The sequence below is a fragment of the Homo sapiens genome, chromosome 21, assembly GCF_000001405.40.
Source record: "Homo sapiens chromosome 21, GRCh38.p14 Primary Assembly".
In the NCBI taxonomy this organism is placed as follows: domain Eukaryota; kingdom Metazoa; phylum Chordata; class Mammalia; order Primates; family Hominidae; genus Homo; species Homo sapiens.
Genome location: NC_000021.9, coordinates 7,772,792 through 7,795,604, shown reverse-complemented (window position 1 = coordinate 7,795,604; position 22,813 = coordinate 7,772,792). Strand labels below are relative to the sequence as shown.

Sequence of the window (22,813 nt, the reverse complement as noted above, 5' to 3'; positions counted from 1 at the left end):
CCCAGGCTGGAGTGCAATGGCACAACCTCTGCTCACTGCAACCTCCGCCTCCTGGGTTCAAGCAATTCTCCTGCCTCAGCCTCCCAAGTAACTGGGATTACAGGCATGCTCCACTATGCCCGGCTAATTTTTTGTACTTTTAGTAGAGACAGGGTTTCTCCATGTTGGTCAGGCTGGTCTCGAACTCCCAACCTCAGGGGATCCACCCACCTCGGCCTCCCAAAGTGCTGGGATTACAGGTGTGAGCCACTGCACCCAGCTTGTATATTATAATTTTTAACAGTTTTATTGAAATATAATTCATATACCATAAAATTCATCCATTTAAAGTATGCATTCAATTTTTTTGTATATTCACAGATTGTGTACAGTGAGCACCACAATTTTAGAAGTTTTATTACCCCTCCAAAAATGCTATATACCCTTAGTTATCACCCCCAATCCCTCCCGCTAGTGAACCACTAATCTATTTTCTATCTTTGTAGATTTGCCTATTCTTGGCATTTCATATAAATGAAATCCTACAATATGTAGTCCTTTGTGACTGACTTCTTTTATTTAGCACAATGTTTGCAAGTTTCATCCGTGTTATGGCATATATCAGTACTTCATTCCTGTTTATTGCTGAATAACATTCCATTGTATGGATAAACCACATTTTATTTATTCATTAGTCAGTTGTTGGATATTTGGGTTGTTTCCATTTTTTGCTATTACAGATAATGCTGCTTTGAACATGTGTGTTCAAGTTTTTGTGTAAACTTACATTTTTATTTCTCCTGGGAAGATACCCAGGAGTAGAATTGCTGGATCATATGGCTTATTTTATAACTTACTTACCCAGTACCCCATTGATGGAAATTTCATCAAATTGTATCTTAAAAACCAGCAACCATCACAAACGTGGCAAGTTAGAGTCCTAGAGTGAGGATTAGGAAGAAATGGAACTGGAAACAATGGCTGGATGATTTAACTTGCCAGTCTTCCAACTTTTCCCTCCCTGCTCCTGGGGAAACTTTACCCGCAGACACTTACTCTAACACTTTCCAATTAAGCCTACCTCAACTCCAATGGGGTCTGTGACTCTGGGAAAGAGAAGAGCCATTTCTCACCACCTGGCACAGGAGTCCACTGCCCACTGACCCCTCAGGGAAAGCCCAAGTCCCCTCAGGTGTGTCACCCTTGGGGTGTCACTCCCTTCCTGTCTGGGTTTCCTCATCTGGGAGACTGTCCAGAGGAAGCTGGTGACTCTTGACCATGGAGTTTCCTGGCCCTATGATGACAGATCTCTGCCACACCTGGCCATCTGCCACACCTGCAACAGGTGCAGAACACAGGGGAATTCAATAGCCATCCAAGCTCTAAGCGGAGAGCCAGCCTCAGGGGGAGCTTCTGGCCACCTCAGTTCATGATGGGACCTGAGAGATGGAGATTCCTTAATACCAGCACGTTTTAAAAATTTGTTTTGATTGAGAACTTCTTAACAAGTCAAAGCTGGGAAGTGCTTTCTGTTCTGATGCAACAGAAGACACAGCAAATCGGATCCTCTGATTAATTGCATGAAAGCAAAGTCATCCACTTACTAAGTTTCTGTTTGGTGCTGCCCTAAGATTGTTGGAAGATCATATTACTCCCCACTCTGGAAACTCAGTGCAGCTCAACTGCAGTAGGACTGATTCTTCCCTAGGAGACGGAGTTCTCCTTTCATCATCTTCCCCTTCTGTGCATGGTAGCCGCTTGAACTTGCCCCTCCAAGAGTCAAGGACAAGACCACCCCATGGAATGTGAGTACTCAGCTACAATGCAAGGATGGGCAGGTTGAGATTTTACATATTTCACGTCATTAAATTACAAGTACAAAATAGCACAGAGGAAAAAGTTTCTCTCTTCTACAGGATATGTTTGTCCATTAAGATACAACCTAACTTACTTTTACCTTTGTAAGAAAGGTAAAATGTAATGTATTGCAGTAATTAATATAGTGAGTTTCTTTCGTGTAGAAAATGGACTGGTTTTTAAATAATTTAATGTTCTGTGTGTAGCTCTTAGTTGGGGATATTTTATTTGTATTTGAATGTGTTGCATCATTCTATGACAATTTCTAGAAAGTTCTATGAGTTTATACATGTGTTCTGAGTTTCAATAAGTTCTCTTGCCCTAATATAAGGATATTGTGTTCTTGTTGGGTTGATTTGCTGTCTGTTTGTTTGTTGCAATAATTACGGGAATTTTTCACCTTCCTTACTTTAATGTCTCAAACCATTCTACCAAACAATGGTGTAAATTTATGCTTGTGGTGTTGTTTCTTGCGAGTGACTAATTTTATGTAATTAAATCTGTTCATTTGTCCTGGGCTTTGTCACATGTAGTTTGAAAAGTAATTTTTAAATAGTTTCTTCCTTCATCTAAAAGTAATAAGCTCATTCACACATTCTGGCAACTAACTATAATAAAAAATACTGGCCTCTCTGAGTCTTGCGTTCGCAAAATGAATTAGCAACAAACAACGATCAAATGGGAAGCATTTTGGAGCACCTTTGTTCTGCACAGCAGGCTGCAAGATTGATCCTATGATGTGTTTTTAAATACATCTGTGTTCACATTAGAGCAAGAAATGGGGGTTTGAGCCAGTAAGGCCCCACTGGGAAATGTCTCACAGGATTGCACTCTACAGCTCTGGTTTTCATTGTTTCATTTTCTCCACCAGCTCTCCAAGCAGAGAAAACAGTTTTGAATTGAACAGCAATTGAGATCTTAATCTTCTGGTCTTACAAGGGCATACAACGGCTTTACCCAGGGGCACCTCACCAGGGAGACCAGAAAAGTACCAACTGGTACACTCTTGCTTTTCAAAAATAAGTATACACGGTACTAAGTGTACAAAAGGGCAAACAGTAAAAAATATATCTTCTTCCCCCAGGTTTCTTCCCCAGAGGCAATTGCAGATACTAATTTCTTATTCATTCTTCCAGAGATGTTCTATACATAAAAAAAGTACAAGCAAATAACATATAACTTCCCCCTTCTTTACAAGTGGCATTGCAGAGCATGTCACCATTAGCTTATTTTTTCACTTATTAACATTCAGTACCATAAAAAACTCATTGCTTTTTATGACTGTGTAGTACTCCACTGCATGGAGGTTCCAAAATGTATTTCACCATCCCTCAGTTGGTGCTATTCAGGCTGTTCCCAGGCATTCGTCATCACAAGGAGGACTGCAATGACTAACCTTCAGCATATGTTGTCTCTAGATGTTCTGGAGCATCTTTAGGATAGATTCCTAGAGATAGAATTGCTGGGTCAAAGGTAAGTGCACTTGTAATGCTCATAGATCTTGTCCGTGTGCCCTCCATGTTGGCTGCATGAATTTACCAGCAATTATACAATTAAAATTCTCCTTGGAAAAAATGTCAAGTGTGGATATGAACATTTATTTGTTGACATTTTAAAAATGCCAATCCTAAACCCCTGAAATGCAGAGGCACTTGTTTCTTTTCTTTAAAAAAATTTTTTTTTGGTGTCAAGTCCACGTCATTGCCACCTTTGCTCCCAATTTAGACACCTTTCTTCTAAGCTGGACAAAAGAACAAAAAAAAGCCATTTTTTTGTTAGTTTATTCTGAAACATCATGAATTTGCAAGTCCAATAGGTAACAAAATGGTATCTAGTTATTATCTTAATTTGCATTTTTCTTATATGAGTGATATTGAGAAGCTCTTCTTATGTTGAATGTTCATTTTTTCCCTGTGAACTATTTGTCCATATCTTTTGCACATTTTTCTACTGCAGTTTTAAACTTTTTCTTACAGAACCGAAGGCTATTTAGAAAATCAGTGATATAAATTGCACTTTGTCATCTGCCTGTTGGTTTTATGGTATGAAATAGCTTAATTTTTTTTATGTAGTTGAATTTGATTTCTATTTCTTGTTTCTTCTGAATTTTTGTTATGCTTAAAAGAATATTCCACTCTGAGATGATAAAGAAAAAATCTGCCATGCTGTACTCTAGTACTATAAATTATTTCACTTTTTATGTTAAAATATTTGATTTATCTGGGCTGTTTTTTTTTTAATCTGGACCGATTTATCTGGTCATATGGTGGAGAGATGTGGATCTAATGCTATTTCCCCCAATGCTACATATTGAATAATTCATCTTTTCCCACCGATCAGAAATGCTCCTTTATTAGCTAGCTATCAAATTCTAATTGCTAACTATTGATGCTGTTTTTACTCTGTTTCATTGGTCTGCTTGCCTGTGTTTTCAGCACCACACTATTTTAGCTGTTGTAGTTTTATTTTTTATTTTTTTTATTTTTTAAGACAGAGTCTTGCTCTGTCACCCAGGCTGGAGTGCAGTGGCCCGATCTTGGCTCACTGCAACCTCCACCTCCTGGACTCAAGCGATTCTCCTGCCTCGGCCTCCCTAGTAGCTGGAACTACAGGCATCACACTATTTTAGCTGTTGTAGTTTTATTTTTTATTTTTTTACTTTTTAAGATAGAGTCTTGCTCTGTCTTGCTGGAACTACAGGCATCACTTGGCTCACTGCAACCTCCACCTCCTGGACTCAAGCGATTCTCCTGCCTCAGCCTCCCTAGTAGCTGGAACTACAGGTGTGTGCCACCACGCCTGGTTAATTTTTGTATTTTTAGTAAAGACGGGGTTTCTCCATTTTGGCAGGGCTGGTCTCGAACTCCTGACCTCAGGTGATCCACCTGCCTCAGCCTCCCAAAGTGCTGGGATTACAGGTGTGAGCCACCATGCCCAGCACTGTTGTAGTTTTATAGGGAGAGTTGTACCTGGTTCTGAAGAACCCCCAGCCCACACACTCTGCAAAGCCCAGCAAGTCCCAGCTGGGCTTTGTGCATATAAAGCTTTCATTCATTGAAAAAAATGTAAATTAGTTTTTATAGCTGGCTGATTTAAAATTTGTGGCTAGGCTAATTCATTAGTCATTCTTTTTATTCAGATTTTTTTTTCTAATTAGTCTTGACAGTTGATTTTTCTTTTTCTTTTTCTTTCTTTCTTTTTTTGTTTTTTTTAAATAGGGTCCCATGCTGGAATGCAGTGGTGTGAACACAGCTCACTGCAGCCTCAACCTCCTGGGCTCAAGTGATCCTCCGGCCTCAGCCTCCTGAGTAGTTAGGACCATAGGCTTGCACACCACACCTGGCTAGTTTTTTTATTTCTTGTAGAGACAGGGTCTTGTCATGTTGGCCAGGCTGGTCTCAACCTCCTGGGCTCAAGCAATCTTCCCACCTTAGCCTCCCAAAGTGCTGGGATTACAGGCATGAGACACCATGCCCGGCCAACAGTTGATTTTTCTAAATGAATAGTTTATTGATTTCACAAAGAAATCCTATTGCTGTTTTTATTGCAATTATGTTTGTTGTATAAATTATTTGAGGGATAACTGACATCTTTATGATGTTGTGTCTCCTATTCAAGAACTTAGTGTTTTTCTGGGCACAGTGGCTCCTGCCTGTAATCCCAGGGCTTGGGAGGCTAAGGTGAGAGGAGCTCTTGAGACCAGGAATTCAAAACCAGCCTGGTCAACATGGCAAGACCCTATCTCTACAAAAAAAAAAAGAGAGAGAAAAAAGAAAAAAATTAGCCCGGCATGGTGCTGCATGTCTATTTGTGAGGCTGAGGCAGGAGGATCAATTGAGCCCAGGAGGTTGAGGCTGTAGTAAGTTATGATCATGCCACTGCACTCCAGCCTGGGTGACAGAGACTCTGTCTCTCTAAAACAAACAAAACAAAAAACAAAACAAAACAACAACAAAATAGTGTTTTGGACTCTTTTGATTTTTAAAAATATATTGACATACCTGTTGTTACACTCCTGCTCATGCCTCAGAGAAGGCCTCTTTGAGCAGCGACACGTTTTCACGGATATGAGGGCTCCATTCTCCTTGGTGTGGCCAGGCAGCCCTCAGCCCAGGACGCTGGATCTCATCCGGACCTCTCTGTTTCTCAGGGGCCAAGTGGACTCCCCATGAAGCCTCCAACCAGACCCAGGCCAGCACCCTCCTGGGGCTCCTGCTGGGTGACCACACAGAGGGGAGGAATGACACCAACTCCACCAGGGCTCTGAAGGTGCCAGACGGAACCAGCGCTGCCTGGTATATACTCACCATCATCGGCATCTACGCGGTGATTTTCGTCTTCCGGCTGGCCAGCAACATCCTCAGAAAGAATGACAAGTCCTTAGAAGATGTTTATTACTCAAATCTGACCTCTGAACTCAAAATGACAGGGCTGCAGGGCAAGGTCGCCAAGTGCTCCACCCTGTCTATCAGCAACAGAGCTGTGCTGCAGCCCTGCCAGGCCCACCTGGGGGCAAAGGGCGGAAGCAGCGGGCCCCAAACCGCAACCCCAGAGACCCCCTGAGAGTCAAGGCCAGGAGGCCTTCCCTAGGGTGGCCCCAGACTTCTTGGAGGGGAGCAGCTTTGGGTTTACTTGGAGCCCTTGAGGGGGACTGGGGGTGCATCACTGACAAGGGGTGCTTCTGGCTGCTAGTTTGTGACCAGAGCCAGCCACCCAGTTCCTTCTCAGACTTCCAGGTGCTTCGAGAAGAGAGAGCAGGGCAGCGGTTTCTAGCCAAATTCAATCTTCACTGGCAAAACCTGTGCTCTGGGGAGGAGCACTATTCCACTGTTCTCGGAGGAATCCGGGAGACTCCTGGGGGCATACAAGGAGGTGACTCCTTGTCGTGGAAAGAAGAATGAACTTGGAGTCAGTTCTGGGTTAAAATTCAACTTCTGGGGAGTCACATAAACTGAGCAGCTTAGTTGCTCACCTGAGACATTTAGGGTTTGGAGACAGATGGTTTTAAAAGTCTATTTTATTTGAAAGACTCTAGCTTGAATATAGGACCAAAGTTGTTAATATCAGAAGTTGGAAATTCTTCATTTTCATTGAAAGAATTAGGTACGACAAAAAAAGCATTGGAGCTGGGTGTGGTGGCTCATGCCTGAATCCCAGCATTTAGAGACCCTGAGGCAGTAGGATCACTTGAGCCCAGAAGATTGAGTCCAGCCTGGGCAACCTAGGGAGACCCCGTTTCTACAAAAAAAAAAAAAAAAAAGTTTTGTTTTGTTTTGTTTTGTTTTGTTTTGTTTTGTTTTGTTTTGTTTTGAGACGGAGTTTGCTCTTGTCGCCCAGGCTGGAGTGCAATGTCACAATCTCAGCTCACTGCAACCTCTGCCTCCTGGGTTCAAGCAATTCTCCTACCTCAGCCTCCTGAGTAGCTGGGACTACAGGCATGTGCCACCACGCCTGGCTAATTTTTTTGTATTTTTAGTAGAGATGAGGTTTCACCATTTTGGCCAGTCTGGTCTCGATATCCTGACCTTGTGGTCCGCCTGCCTTGGCCTACCAAAGTGCTGGGATTACAAGCATGAGCCACCGTGCCCAGCCAAAAAATGTTTAAAACACATTAGCCAGGCATGTGCCTATGGTCCCAGGTACTTGAGAGGCTGAGGTGGGAGGATTGCTTGAGCTTGGGAAGTCGAGGCTGCAGTAAGCTGTGATCATGCCACTGCACTCAAGCTTGGGTGACAGAGTGAGACCCTGTCTCAAAAAAAATTTTTTTCTTTTAAGAAAAATGTATTAATTTTGGAGTCAGAAGAACCAAACTCTAGTCTGGATTTGATTATCAATCACTCTGGTGTCCTTTCACACATCACTTCGCTTCTCTAGAACTTAGTTTCCATACAGATAAAATGAGGCTAATGATGTCAGATCTGCCAACCTTACCAAGTAGATAAGATCTAATGAAACCATGCATGTGAATGTATTTCGAAAAGTAAAATAAGTATGTAAATATAAGCCTTGTTGTGGTAAGTGGTGATGGTGGTGACTGGTGGTTCTAGGTGATGCTAATGGTTTTGGTGGTGGTGATGGTTTATGTTGATGGCAGTGTTGCTGTTGGTGATGTTATTGGTGGTGGTTATGATGCTAACGGTGGTGGCGTAGGTGGTGGTGGTTGATGTTGGCATTAATGGTGGTGGTGATGATGCTATTCTGAAACAGGAAATGACTAATTCCTTGACAATTAGTCTCTAAGCAATGGCTGTATTGTCTTGTTCCACAAGAGAATTCCGTCTGCATGTCAGTTGATGACCTGTGCTATCAATTGAATCCATGAGATTTTGCCTGTGGACACTTTTAGATTTCCTTACATTAGATATCATATGCTTCACTCAAGTGGTTTACCAATACCTGTTACTTATATACTTTTCTTTGTCTAAAAAAGAAATAAGATCTGTCTAGATGACTGATTAACTTAGGGAGATTCTGATTAACAGAATTTCTAGAAATGGCTTTCAGCAGGCAAAGAGAAAATTATATTTTGTACCAATTTATATAAAGTTCATCTAGCTCAGCTTTTGGAGATGTCCCTGGGGCTAGAGATGAAATATCGTTTTCCTGTCCACAGACAGCGGTCTGCAGTTCACCCCATGAACTCATACAGGTCAGAATTAAACCCCGAGCTTTGTTTATGGAGGGTGAGATATATTTCCAAGTATTTCTTTCTCTTTTCACATTTTCCACATCATTACCATCATCATTGTCGTCATCATCATTGTCATCATCCTACAGGTTGAAAACAGAAGTGTTAGTTTATTTATAAAGTTTATATAGGCTTTATGCATATGTTTGAGATGCTTATAGGGCAGGACAAAACAGAAGACACAAAGGTAGACAAAAATGTAATCCACAGTCATAGGAATACAGAATGCATTCAAATGGGGCTGAATGGTCAGAACTTAGGTGAATCTGAGGATAGGAAGAGTGAATTGGCACAATCTCCCCTTGTTGGTTGCCCCTGCAGCATGCATTTCCCCCTTCTCTAATCCAGCTGCCCCGAATTTTCATTTGAGGACCCATACAGCTCTAGGAAAGTTGAAACTACCCCCAGTTCAAGAATTGGAATAAGTTTCAAATGAAAAAGCTGAATGAAAAATAATTTTTAAAAAATAATAATAATAAGTGTTTTAAAAAGTGGGAATAAGAGGCCTAGATTGATCCAGTCGTTGCATCCCATCTCCTGGCCTCATTGCTTGGGACCAGGATGGACACCTGACCCTAAGCGAAACAACCCAATAAGAGTGACCAGGAGAACTTTAATGGGGAATTCTGGAACAAAAAAGCTTTCTCTTGCTCTGGATGGTGTTAAAAGCCGATCTGAGCCTGAAATTGTTACGGGAATGGGATCCTGATCCAGACCCCAAGGGAGGGTTCTTGAATCTTGCACAAGAAAGAATTGAGGGCAAGTCCATAAAGTAAAATGAAAGCAAGTTTATTAAGAAAGTAAAGAACAAAAGAATGGCTACTCCATAGGCAGAGCAGCAGCAGGGACTGCTTGACTGAGTACACTATGGTTATTTCTTGATTGTATGCTAAACAAGGAGTGGATTATTCATAAATTTTCCAGGAAAGGGTCAGGGATTTCTCAGAACCCTCAGTTCTTTTAGACTATATAGGTTCTCCTTTTAGACCATATAGGGTAACTTCTGGACATTGCCATGGCATTTGTAAGCTGTCATGGAGTTAGTAGAAGTGTCTTTTACCACACTAATGCATTACAATTACCATATAATGAGCAGTGAGGAAGACCAGAGGTCACATTAATCACCATCTTGGTTTTGGTGGGTTTTGGCTGGCTTCTTTATTGCATCTTGTTTTATCAGCAGGGTCTTTGTGACCTGTGTCTTGTGATATCAATCCTGCTGGCCTCCTGTCTCACCCTGTGACTAAGAATGCCTACCCTCCTGGAATGCAGTCCAGCAAGTCTCATCCTCATTTTACACAGCCTTTAATCAAGATGGAGTCACTCTGCTTCGAAAACCTCTGACAGAATTGCTGGATCCATTTTGCCACCATGAAGAAAGCCAACTTGAAGGCAAAAACCCAGCATCTAGAAGGGAGAAGAACTAGGAAATTACAGAGACCAGAGCCTGTACCAACTGTACCCAGAGCCTTCATTTACCACTGGAGTTTTTCAGTTTGTGAACCAATGAGATCCTTTTATTAAGTCTTTTGGAGCTAGGCTTTTGTTCCTCACAACCAAAAATATCCTAAATGATACCACTGGATAAATGATTTCCCGAAGGAAGTGGGCCTTGGAGTCAAATTTGAAAAGAGAAGATGTGTGATGTGCTGTGTGGGAGGCTGGGATCATTTTTTTTCACCAAGATTTTTATATTTATAGGCTTTTATATTTATAGGGGAAAAACAGATTCGGTACACTTCTTACTTCAGCTCAATAATCATTTGCAGGACTTCTCATTGCTTGACCTCTCAAAGAGCACTCAGTGAGACTCTGTACCATTTAATCCTCACCCCTGACTGTCAGTAGACTGCCATGGAAACCCCAAGGATGCCTGTCCTGTTGGACATGTGGTCAGAGACTGGCTCCAAAGATATCTCCCAAAGAGCAAAAGCCACCATCTTCCTGTTGGTGCCCAGACACAGGTGCATGAGCTCCAAGGACTCCTTCCTAGGCCACCTCTCTGCTGCCTGATCTAAACTCACCTCATTTCTGGGAGCTGGTCTGAGAGTCTGCCTTGGAGATGTGTTGGATGGGAACTAGGGGTTTGTAGGCTCCATTGTGAGCAATACTGATGGGAAATGACCCCAACTGGTATGGATATTTTGCATAAAGCCCCTGAAATCTGACATGCTCAGGGTCAGAGCCATGAACCACTGTCTTGACAAACCCCATGTACATGGACTAATAAGGAAGGTGTGGGCACCATGGCGTTAGTGTTCAACTGGAGAGTGGGAAAGAGATTTGCATGTGCCACCAGCCCTGATAGAGACAGTGACAGAACACACTGATTCTCAACATTGCAGACACCTGCTGTCTTTGTCCCTATGTAGGTTTCCCCCAATATTTAGGGGATCAGGTCAGATAAAGGCCTTCCTCTGAAATGGAAATTATTTAAAATCGATGAGGAAGTCATCCAGGAATGACTTCCTCTGGGGATCTGTGGATGATGGTGCTAGGGTTTGTACCAGACCAAATCAAGGTAACTAGAGCCTCCCCAGGTGATTGTAACCCATCTCCTAAATAAAACTTGCATCGACTCGGTTGCATTACAATTTGATTTTCCTGGGTGATGTACTCATCACATTTTTTAAAAAAGGACTTAAAGAAAGACTTTAGAGACTAAATTCTTGGTATTTATGCACCTCTTTCTGGAGTCACAGGTGGGCTCTGATTCTCATAACTGATTGCCTTGACTTCTACCGGAGCAGAAGAATGCCAGCTCATTCTTCAAATACAGTTAGTCTTCTGTTGGCAATTATGGAAAACAGCTCTACCTAGCGCATGCAAATGTGTGTGTGTGTGTGTGTGTGTGTGTGTGTGTGTGTGCGCGTGTGTGTGATTTTGAGGAAGGTAACTGAGGTAGCTCACAGAATCAAAAGGACAGCAGCTCCTCCCAGCCTTAGGAAGGAGAGGGGTTAGTCTGCCATGAGGCCCTTACTTGGCGGCCCCAGTTGGAGAACCTTCTCACTAGGATTCTCCCAAAAGACAGCTCAGCTCCCATGTCTGCCTTTTAGTGCCTCTGCTCAAGTTTCAGATCTCAGGGTGAGGGCACTGCAGTGGATCAGGGAAGAGCAGGTGTGCAGGTGACCCAGGGAATGGAGCGCTCTGATTGGCTGAGGCTGAGTCATAGGCCCCCTCCTATAGGACATCAAAGTCTTTGAAGAAAATGCCAATTAAAAGCACTGTTGGCTGGGCACTGTGGCTCATGCCTATAATCCTAGCACTTTGGGAGGCCGAGGTGGGCAGATCACTTGAGGTCAGGAGTTCGAGACCAGCCTGGCCAACATGGTGAAACCCCGTCTCTACTAAAAATACAAAAATTAGCTGGGTATGGTGGCGGGCACCTGTAATCCCAACTACTCAGGAGGCTGAAGCAGGAGAATCACTTAAACCTGGGAGGCGGAGGTTGCAGTGAGCCGAGATTGTGCCACCACACTCCAGCCTGGGCAACAGATCGAGACTCCATCTCAAAACAAAACAAACAAACCAAAAAAGCACTGTTGCTCAGATATCACCCCCTGTGTGAAACCTTGATCCCTAAGGCAGAATTGCTTGTTCCTCCATGGCTTCTGTAGCACTTTGTAAAACATTTGGATGGATCAAAGAGAGAAAATTTTATTCAACAGAATTTTTCCAAGGACGGCACATTTGTTTGCCAAGTGTTTGGTAAGCAAGAGAGACCTGTACAGTTTTGGTACAGGAAGGGCCCATGAATGTGGGCGGAACTATTCCACAGGAGACAAGGAGAAGCTGTTCTCTGGAGGGAGGGAATGGAGAGGGAGAGGTGGTTTAGGGATCTGCAGGATGGCAGAATGCATCCAGAAATGACTTTCCTATCATTTCCCCACCACTGCCTCAAGCCCTTTTCTTCTACGATTTTATGAAACTCATGGGATAAATGCTTGAAGTGAGTAGGCTAGAAGCCAGCAAAGGGATGCAGGGATGTGCCCAGACACATACAGGTGGAACGGAAGCAGCAGGCAGATGGGGGGTGTCAGGAACAGAAATGCTTTCCTAGGGCAACCTAGTTAGGTTTCGTTTAAGCTAATCAGGAAGTAACCAGAGTCATGGGGAGGCTGTAAAACTGAGGCAGGGACCAGATTTCACCAAATCATTGTAGAATGAGGGCAAGGATGAAGGAGGGGTGGAGGTAGGTGCTTGCAGGAGTCACCTTGATATGGTTTGCCTGTGTCCCCACTCAAATCTCATCTTGAACTATAGTTCCCATAATCCCCATGCGTCATGGGAGGGAGCCGGTGGGTAATTACCTCCATGCTGTTCTCTTGATAGTGATTGCGTTCTCACAAGATCTGATGGTTTTATAAGGGGCTTTCCCCACTTTGCTCTGTATTTCTCCTTCCTGCCATCATGCGAAGAAGGATATGCTTGCTTCCTTTTCTGCCATGATTGTAAGTTTCCTGAGGCCTCCTCAGCCATGAGGAATTGTGAGTCAATTAAGCATCTTTCCTTTATAAATTACCCAGTCTCAGGTATGTCTTTATTGACAGCATGAGAACAGACTAATACATACCTGAAAAGGAGAACACTTATCACATAATGCTGTAAATACAGGTCGGCAGTCTCTTCCCCACTGAACCAGAAGAATATGATTTTTAAGAATAAAAGATATCTTATTGATCAATTGATCAACAATATCTTATTGATCTTGACCCACTTATTTCAAAACACACAATAAATATTTGTAACTATTCTTTTAAAAATAGCAATACCCATTTAAAAATAATGAAATCCAGACTAAAAGGACTTGGTATGTACCAGGCACTAAGTGCGCTGCATGCATCTCCCCGCTTGCCAGTTGCCCATCCCCTGCGCCTAGTGCTCCATGCTTGCCTCTCTTATGGCACCCACAAATGAAGCTGGAGGCAGAAACCATACAGTCACTTGAACACAGGAAGTTTCCTGTAAGGAAATGATTAAGTGGTGAGGAAGAAACTACAAAGATACAAAGAGAACTCTCAAGGGTTCCCTAGGGCTCAGTACCCAGGGAAGGACCAACTCGGCTCCCCAAGGCTGGGCTTCAGACGTCTTTAGAGAAGATGTGATTGCAGCCACTGGCCGGAGGGGAAGTTCGTGGGTGGCCGGGGCCACAGTTGGCCCACAGTCCCCAGGCAGCTGGTCCTCTAGTGCACAGGAGCACCAAGACTGGTAGATGGGTGACCAGAGAGAGCCAGGGTGCCAGGAGCTCACTCGCTGGTGGGGTGGCCGGGAGGATGCTGTGCGCCTTGCCCATGGCACACAGGGCCCATGGCACACGCCTCCAGGACACAGCCCCAGAGAGGCTGTGGTGTGGCACTTGCAAGAGTCGAGGCACTGAGCATGTGCCATGGACTGAATGCTTTTGTCCTTTGTCCCCTGAAATCCACATGTTAAAGCCTTAATCCCCAATGTGATAGTATGGAGGTGAGATTTAGATGAGGTTTCGGGAGGTTTAGATGAGGTCGCGATTGTAAGGCCCCCATGATGGGATCAGTGCCCTTACAGGAAGAGACACCAGACCCCCCTCTCTCTCTGCACCTTGTGAGGACACAGCAAGAAGTGTTCTACCCGCGAACCAGGAAGCAGGTCCTCACCGGGTACCGAATCTGCCAACACCTTGATCTCAGACTTCCAGCTTCCAGAACTGTGAGACAGAAACGTGTGTTGCCTAAGCCATTTGTTTTAACAGCCCAAACTGACTAAGACACTCATCAGAGAAAAAGCAGCGCTGGACATGTGTTACAGGCGGCAAGACTGATTCCTTCAGACTCCTGCAGCAGCGGAAAGAGATTCCAGTACCGACCAAGCTCAACCCCAACTCAGAAAACGGTGACTGAGGTCTTCAAAGAGAGAACAGAAAGGGAACAAAAAGGGACTGAAGGAGAAATGAAAACAGAACGTGGGGGCCACGTGGAAATGGAAAGTTCCAGAACGGTGAGGGGAGAACTACTGAAAATGGTTTAGCGGGGTGGGCTGGACGAGGTGCATTTTGTGATTTGGCTGCATTGCAAAGTCTTGAGCCAAGACTCAGCCAGGGCTGGGGTCGCCTCTGGGGATGCAGCTTAGTGCAGGTGGAAGCCAGGCTACAGTTTGGTGAAGCCTCTCAGCACAGTGCTGGGGCGAGTCCTCTACACTCTGTGGAATTCCCAGTTCACTGGAGGCTCGCTAGCAGGGCAAGTGTGGCCCGAAGGTGCACTGTCCATGTCAGGCAGGCATGCAGGGAAGCCGGGGAGCTGACACCCTGCTGGGGGCAGGGGAGTGGGTGGCCTGGGGTGCCTTGGGTCCCATCAGCAGGGTCATGGGAAACAGCCTCCAGGCTGCACAGTGGTGGACAGCAGTGCTGGCTCCCCCTGTACCTGCCCACCAGCCTTGGCCCTCCTAGGCCCCGAAGGGTCGTTTCCTGCTGTCCAGTGACTGTAGACCAGCCCTGGCCCAGGAAACCCTATAAACTTCTCCTCCAACTATTTCTCCTGGAGAAGACAAGAGTGCCAATGGATTACTACAGTGCAGGGCAATTGAGCAAAGATGGGGATGAACTGGGGTCCCATGGGAGCAGGGAGGAGGGGCCAGGGAACCCTGGCCAGAAATAGGAAAGCAGTAATGGAAGGGACGACTCAGGAGAGGGAGTGCCCATCTCAGAGCCTTTCAGGAACCTGGCATTTAATAAATGCCTCCTCCAGAGGGAAGGATTCAGGCAGATCACTTCTAGAAGGGGTCACCGCCTCTCCAGGTTCTGCATGGTCCACAGCATATGTACAGTCCCCAGAAGCTAGACTCCTTCCAGGCCTGGTGTGGAGGGAACCTAAGTGTGTGATGGAGGAGAGTCTTCCACGGGCTATGAACTCTTTGTAAAAAACAAAACAAAACAAAACAAAAAAACAGCATGCATGCGATGCTGGGGGCTTAGGACAATATCTTAAAACAGAACTGAAACATTGGTGGATAAACCTCAGGACAGGCAGGAAAAGAGCCGTAGCTCATCCACCATCAGCATTAGCAATGTAATCAGACACAACGGAAAATCAATGAAGTAAAACCAACCAGCAGGATTATGTTGTTGAGCCTCCAATAAATGTCTTAAGTGTCCAATAGAGCCATATCGTTTTGATGACATGAATTTCTGTGTTGCTTTTCTGATTGCTCAAAATCCTGAAATTCTTTGGAGAGTATTATCAATGTCATTATCTTTGCCAGGAAGATGCTGAGCTGTCTTCCCTGAAGCAGTGTTCTCCCTGGGTTGTTTGAACCCCTGACTGTCACGTGCCTTCTGTCCTAAGCTGCCACCAAGGCCCAGACAAGCCCTGCCATGCATGTGTCTCTTTATTAATACATAGTACAGCAGGGAGCTGCCCCCTCTCCCAGCCAGGCAGGGCCGCTTATCCCACACCCCCTGCCTTGCAAGCACACTTAGTGTGGAGTATATTAGGAAGTTTAATTAGCAGAAAATAAATAAAGTAGGGATCCCAGCTTGAGCCCAGGCTGTCCCCTGCTGGGGTGGGACATGTCTGAACAGTGTTGATGAGAGTTTTATGAAAGACGCATCTCCTAGAGGAAAGGACATGGAGAGAAGTAAGTTTGATTCCCTCTCGGAGGAGCCTGAGTGCCCAGAAGTCCAAGCAAGAATCTTGAGCTGTATCTGGGAGTGGGGGTGCTTAGATCACGAGCATACTCCTGAACCCTGGCAATGGGGCAGAGCATGGAATGTGCTGACTGGCTTAAGCTTGGAGCAGGACTTGATGTGGCTTCCTCCAAAGGAACCTGAGTTCTGTGGGAGATGGATGAACATCTGAACAACTCAGGGCACTGCTGGGGATATGGAAGCTGGCAGGCAGCCCTTACCATTTGAGGTGCGATAGGGAGAGAGGATAACCAACGTTTAACAAACTCTATCAAATACTGGGTGCGTTGACACGTGCCAGCCCCAGGATGCTCTTAGAAACTCTATGAGGGGAGTGTAATTAGAGCACTGAGGCTCAGAGAGGTTAAGAAACTTGTATATTGTCACACAGCTAGCAAGAGTTTCAGGAAGCTAGATCTAACAGATTCCAAGGCCCATGTAATGTTTCCATCAGGTATTTGTCCAAAAAACACTTTTCCTTCAAGGTAAGGAGTGGGAAGGCTACTCGTATGGGGGCATGGTGTCCCAGCAGCCCACAGCTCAGTGCCAGACTGTGAGTGAGAAGACGAATGTGTGTCCCATCTCTGCCACTTCTGTCTGTGTGGCCTCAAGACCCTCACCTAGAAGGATGGCTGAAGTATCACTCCAGGCCTGGTGTCCTGACTTCTTGAACAACTGTCTAGGGTGTGCAAGCCAGCACATCCCCTTTTCTGCTCCCTAGTTAGATGGATTTAGCTAGGCTATTGCTTTGTGAGAATAGAGGGACCCAAGAGCCTCATTCTCCATCTATATAACTCAAAGACTTTGTATAAGTCAGGGTGAGCTGGTTTTGTCATGAGAAACAACCACCCCAAACTCTCAGTGGCTGCAGACAGCTGGCTTTCTTTCTTTCCCCCGCCACATGCGTGCAGCAGGTCTGCTGGTGGCTGTGCTCTGAGACTCAGGTTGCTCCTGCAGACCCTCTGGAAACATGGCCATTCTCAGCTCTGGAGGGACGAGTCCCTGAGTATCTCACCTGGACAATTAAATGCTCCAGCCTGGAAGAGACACGAGTCACGTCCATCCACCATTCATTGGCTAGAATAAGCCCATGGCTCCTCTCAACCGTGGGGGCAGGGAAGTCTCATCCCACCGGGGCCTGGAAGGCTGAGAACCAAAAGTTGGGCGAACAGTACTCATGGCTATCATAGAGTGGAACCAGTTCCAAGACTCTCAAACCATTTTTTGAGAGCAAGGGGAAGCCTAATCTCATTCTCTATTTTCTATCATCTTTTTTACTTATATAAACCCAAACCTCTCTTTATTAAAACATCTCTCTATATATATGTCTATTTTAAAAAGTCTCTCTCTATATGTCTTTGTGAGAAAAAAAAATGTGTTACGTTCCTTTCAAAACCAACCCTGAGGCTCTGGAAGCACTAATGTTCTCCACCCACAGTTCCCCACCGGCCCCTGATCAGACCTGGTTCTAGGACAGGGGTTCTCACCTTGGCTTCCCTGTAGAATCACCTGGAAGCTTGTAAAAATCCCATGGATGCCAGGTCTCACCCCAGGCCAATTCTGTCAGAACCTCTGAGCTGGTGCCAGGCAGAAGCAATTGGGTGAAACTCCCAGGAGATGCCTGGATGGGTCCAGGTTGAGTCTGCTGTTCCGGGTGAGCCCTGAAGCAGCTTCCAGCTCCGGGGCTGCCTCTTTCTTTCCCAGGTGAGGTTCCAGGAGAAGCCAGAGATGGGGGTTTGCCTTAACAAACCAGGAGCTGAGGAAGGTCGAAGAGAATTCGGTGATTATCCCGACTCATGATTCCAGCTCCTTCCCAGTGGTGGGAGCTGGGAATGCCGTGGGAAGCAGGCGTGGGAGGGGTGCCCGGGGGGATGGGTGCCCGGGGGAGGGGTGTCCGGGGGGAGGGGTGCCCAGGGAGACAGGTGCCCGGGTGTGCTGTCACTCAGTTCCAGGCCTGAGCTCAGCTGCTGAGAAAACAGGAAGTGCATCAGGAACTGAGTGTGCTCAAGTCCTGGGTATTCACAATTCACAAGGACACGTGCACACATTCACACACACATTTGCACATCCCCATAAGCATACACACACACACACATACTCAGCTGGGCGTGATGGCTCACACCTCTCATCCCAGAACTTTGGGAGGCCGAGGCAGGTGGATCACCTGAGGTCAGGAGTTTGAGACCAGCCTGGCCAACATAGTGAAACCCCATCTCTATAAAAAAAAAAAAATACAAAAATTAGCCAGCTGTAGTAGCGGGTACCTATAATCCCAGCTACTCAGGAGGCTGAGGCAGGAGAAGTGCTTGAACCTGGGAGGCAGAGGTTGCAGTGAGCCAAGATAGAGCGACTGTGCTCCAGCTTGGGTGACAGAGTGAGACTCTATCTCAAAAAGAAAGGAAGGAAGGAAGGCAATCATTGAGACAATCAGTATTGCCAGGGAAGAAGGCTTTAATTGGGTGCTGCTGCCCAGGAGATGGAGCTCAGTCTCAAATCCATCTTCTGGACCCACTAAAATTAGGGGTTTATATAGCAGGGAAGAAATGTAACAGGAACTCGGGAGGGGTAAGGAAGCAGTCATGATGAATGGAGGGCCTGACGTCTCATTGTCTAGACAAGATGATCTGGTGAGTTTCAGTTCTCTGATACTTTTGGAGAGGACTTGGGCTCCTTTCCTGAGGAAGCAACTCAGATAAAACAAATTTAATTTTCAAGCTTTAAGACCAGAAGGGTCAATTTCTGTATTCATCAAAAACAAACAAACAAACAAAACAACAACAACAACAACTAACTGTCTATGGGACTATTGGTTCGGTTTCATTCTTTTTTTTCAGATTTTCTTCTCCATGAAAAAAATGTTTTTAAAAGAATCTCTTCCACAGAAAAAAAAAGCAACTGGGGATCTTCTCTTGTTTGGCGAGGAGATAAGGGGCTGTGGCCCTCTCCTCCTGAGCAGCTTGTCTGGCAAATGGGCAGATGATGTTGGCCTCAATTCCAAGGATGGCAACAAGAATGAACTAAGACATGACATGTAAAGGGGTCAGGGCTACTCCCCACACTAAGTGCTCCAAAATATTATTACTTACCCCAGGTGCTGAACAGAGTAGGGGCTTTGTGACCTCATGTGGCCGACTCATTTCACTGGAAGCATTATTCTGAAAACAAGTTTGGAGACGATGGGAAAGTCTGACACACACATGCTCATACACAGACGGTGGCAGCATCGTCTGCCGAGATGCACAGCAGACATAATTTGGCTGGTTCCCTGTGGGCTTGCTCTCTGTGGGTTTGTTGTTGTAGATTTGTTGTTGTGGGTTTGTTGATGTGGGTTTGTTGTCTGTGGGTTTGTTCTCTGCGGGTTTGTTTTCTGTGGGTTTGTTTTCTGTGGGTTTGTTGTCTGTGGGTTTGTTGTCTGTGGGTTTGTTCTCTGTGGGTTTGTTGTCTGCGGGTTTGTTTTCTGCGGATTTGTTGTCTGTGGGTTTGTTGTCTGTGGGTTTGTTCTCTTTGGGTTTGTTGTCTGCGGGTTTGTTCTCTGTGGGTTTGTAGTCTGTGGGTTTGTTCTCTGTGAGTTTGTTCTCTGTGGGTTTGTTGTCTGTGGGTTTGTTGTCTGTGGGTTTGTTCTCTGTGGGTTTGTTCTCTGTGGGTTTGTTGTCTGTGAGTTTGTTGTCTCTGGGTCTGTTCTCTGCGGGTTTGTTTTCTGTGGGTTTGTTGTCTGTGGGTTTGTTTTCTGTGGGTTTGTTTTCTGCGGGCTTGTTGTCTGTGGGCTTGTTGTCTGTGGGTTTGTTGTCTGTGGGTTTGTTCTCTGTGGGTTTGTTCTCTGTGGGTTTGTTGTCTGTGGGTTAGTTGCCTCTGGGTTTGTTGTCTGTGGGTTTGTTCTCTGTGTTTCCTTTCCGCCCTGCTTTTCACAGGAGAATGCCAGGCCCTCTGTGGTTTGTTGCCTGGGAGGAGATTCAAGATGCCAGGCCAAAAACCTGAGGGCTGACCCTTTCCCTGTGTATGGTGGGGAGGTTGTGGTACCTGTCCCAGAGAGGGATGGGACAGGGGACCGTGACACTGAAGGGAGAGAAGAAGGGGCAGAGTTGTCTACAAGCCTAGGGTTGAACAGAGGCTCTTGAGGCAGGGAACTGAGGCTCATGGCTCTTGTTCTCAAGAAGATGACTGGGCCACCTGGGAGAGTGACTTTGGGTTTACCTAAATGGGCTGGATCCTGGCTTTGAAATTCTCAGCCTCAGCAAAGATGCCAGTGCCCACATGATGGGACCACAGGGGCTTGGGTCTGAGCACCTAGACCCAAGCATCGGCTAAGGGTGACCTCAAGGCCCTGCCTGTGCACTGGCCTTGGGAAGTGGGGTGGGGTAAGAACCTCCAACCATGCCCAAGTCCCATATGACTTGATTTAAATAAATAAATGTGATGTTTCCCACAAAACTGAATTTGTGGATAAGATTCATACCAGCCACATGTATACACACATCTATTTATAGGAGCAACTGCTTTGGGTTTTTATTTGTTTTTTGTTTGTTTGTTTTTGGTGATTTGGTGTTTTTTGTTGTTTTGGTTTTTTGTTGTTGTTGTTGTTGTTTGTTTGTTTTTTTGTACTACCAGTTTCTAAATATTCCTTCTTCTTTGATGAAGAAAGTGATCTATGGCGGGTGGAAGATGGCCCAACAGCCCGGCAGCAACACTCACGTATTGAGTTTAGGGACCCACCCGTGTCCTGAGAGTTCAAGTTAAGACTTTGTCTTGCAACTGAACAATCTTTATCTCCCAATTATATGAAATCAATTTAAATGAATTAAACAAATTACAATGTCCCACTTGAGAATATCAGTTACCTGGGCAGTGGAGAAGAATTAGAAGTAAAGAAGTGCCTTCTAGGAAAGCAGATAGTAGTGACTCGGGGTGGAGGGAGAAGCTCCCATGGGAAAAGTGTGGAGGGCTCCCGACCTGGGAGGTCCCTGCAAAGGTGTCTGCCTGAGCAGTCCTACAGAGACCTGTCCACACTGCCTCCTAGTGGTCGCTCCATCACCTTCCAAACACTCCAAAGTTGGGGAGGTGGCCCCAGGAAGCCCACTTCTCTCTCCCAGGCAGTTGGCAGCCTCTGCTGGAGTGGGCAGCGGGGAGGGGAAGTCCCGGGAGGCTGGAGACTCCTGAGGAAGGGAGGACAAGGAGCCTCAGGTGGAGGGAGGGGAGTCCTAGGAGCTGGCTGCTTGGCTTGGCAGAGGCTGCAGAGGACGTGAGAGAGTATGTTAACAAGCACAGGAAGGTTCTCTGAGTTTCTCTGGCCATCCATGGTGCAATGGTTTGCGTGAGTCCAGGCCCCCATTTATCGGGGCAAACTACTTCTGGCTCCTTGTGCAAAAGCAGTTCCTGGCCAGACGCTGGCTTGGCCTGTCCCGGGGTGGTGGGTGGGGGGCACAGATGAGTCTCTGCGGAGACCTCTCTGTTGGTGCCTCTTAGGCTCTGGGACCACACCCCCAGTCCATGTGTCCCACATTGTGCCCCTAAGCTGAGGCCTGGCAGGTGCTGCTGTCAGAACCAGCCTGAGTATGGGCTCCAAGTGAACCCCAGTCAAAAGCTCCAGGATCCCATGAGTCCTCCTTTGGCTGGTTTTCTCCACACCCAGCCCCCATCACCAGTGCCACCCCCCACTTCATGCTGCCTCTAAAATGATCTTCAAGGACGTCTGAATTGTGCATTTTATATCAAGTTCTTCTTGTCATTGTTTTCATAATATATTGCCAGATTTACTCATAATTAAAGAAGTTAAAACAATGAAATGATCTTTTTGTCTATCAGATTGATAAAGGTTAAAAATCACTGGCTGGGCGCAGTGGCTCGCGCCTGTAATCCCAGCACTTTGGAAGGCTGAGGCAGGCAGATCACCTGAAGTCAGGAGCTCGAGACCAGCCTGGCCAACATGGCGAAACCCTGTCTCTTCTAAAAATACAAAAATTAGCCAGGTGTGGTGGCACGTGCCTGTAGTCCCAGCTACTTGGGAGTCTAAAGCAGAAGAATCGCTTGAACCCAGGAGGTGGAGGTTGCAGTGAGCTGAGAACACACCACTGCACTCCAGCCTGAGTGATAGTGAAATTCCACCTCAAAAAAAAAAAAAATTAATATCAAATGGCAGCTGAGAAATGGACATGAGTTTCAAAATAATAATACCAGCATCATTATTAACAATAAAACTACCGAGTACCATTTAAGATTTCATGTGTTTTTCTTTGTCCTTAGCTTATACTCTACTGGAGAATATATGATCAAAATACTGTGTTGTAGGGTCATTTGAAAGAAATTCAACTCTGTGTGATTTTGGAACTGACATGATAAGCAGCTAGGTTCATCAGTTACTGTTTGTATTGTTTAGAGATCATTTTGTTTTATTTTTATTTTTGATTTGCCTTTGTTTTTGTTTGTATATAAATTTAAGGGGTACAAGTGCAGGTGTGCAGTTTTGTCAAATGGATTGATTGCTCAGTGGTGATGTCTGGGCTTTGAGTGTAGTAGTGTACATCGTACTCATTAAATAATTTCTCATCCCTCACCCTAATCCTATCCTCTTTTTTTTTCTTTTTTTAGACGGAGTCTTGCTCTGTTGTCCAGGCTGGAGTGCAGTGGTGCAATCTCGG

At 45.5% G+C, this 22,813-nt stretch overlaps 2 protein-coding genes across 5 annotated transcripts, besides 1 other annotated feature; one reads left to right on the top strand and one right to left on the bottom strand.

Annotated features, from left to right (window-relative positions):
• Positions 1 to 22,813: part of a sequence alteration artifact (region identified as an assembly artifact by the Genome Reference Consortium. This region falsely duplicates sequence located at GRCh38 chr21:34374240-34495759) that runs on past both edges of the window.
• LOC107983987 (small integral membrane protein 34B) lies at positions 1,666 to 11,118 on the top strand. Of its 2 annotated transcripts, XR_007067779.1 has the most exons (3): positions 1,696 to 1,784; positions 5,987 to 6,744; positions 9,708 to 11,118. XR_007067779.1 is itself a non-coding variant. In NM_001386820.1 (2 exons), exons 1-2 carry the CDS (start codon positions 1,778 to 1,780, stop codon positions 6,397 to 6,399), a joined length of 420 nt encoding a protein of 139 aa, NP_001373749.1. In that variant the 5' UTR covers positions 1,666 to 1,777; the 3' UTR covers positions 6,400 to 6,902. The 2 variants fall into 2 exon arrangements, 1 of the variants encoding a protein (NP_001373749.1); NM_001386820.1 differs by lacking the exon at positions 9,708 to 11,118 and having other exon boundaries at positions 1,666 to 1,784; positions 5,987 to 6,902.
• Positions 9,298 to 22,776, bottom strand: LOC105379504 (salivary glue protein Sgs-3-like). Of its 3 annotated transcripts, XR_007067801.1 has the most exons (4): positions 21,017 to 22,776; positions 19,268 to 19,336; positions 17,669 to 17,937; positions 12,162 to 17,327 (listed from the first exon to the last, which is right to left on the bottom strand). XR_007067801.1 is itself a non-coding variant. In XM_047441056.1 (3 exons), the coding sequence occupies exon 1, from the start codon at positions 20,314 to 20,316 to the stop codon at positions 19,315 to 19,317; it is 1,002 nt and encodes a 333-aa protein (XP_047297012.1). In that variant the 5' UTR covers positions 20,317 to 22,776; the 3' UTR covers positions 9,298 to 9,931; positions 17,197 to 17,327; positions 17,669 to 19,314. The 3 variants fall into 3 exon arrangements, 1 of the variants encoding a protein (XP_047297012.1); XM_047441056.1 differs by adding an exon at positions 9,298 to 9,931 and having other exon boundaries at positions 17,197 to 17,327; positions 17,669 to 22,776; XR_001754936.2 differs by lacking the exon at positions 21,017 to 22,776 and having other exon boundaries at positions 19,268 to 19,533.

Bases quoted from the DNA above. Each gene is read 5' to 3' on its own strand.
- LOC105379504 (XM_047441056.1), bottom strand. From the start codon at position 20,316: ATGAGCCTCAGTTCCCTGCCTCAAGAGCCTCTGTTCAACCCTAGGCTT.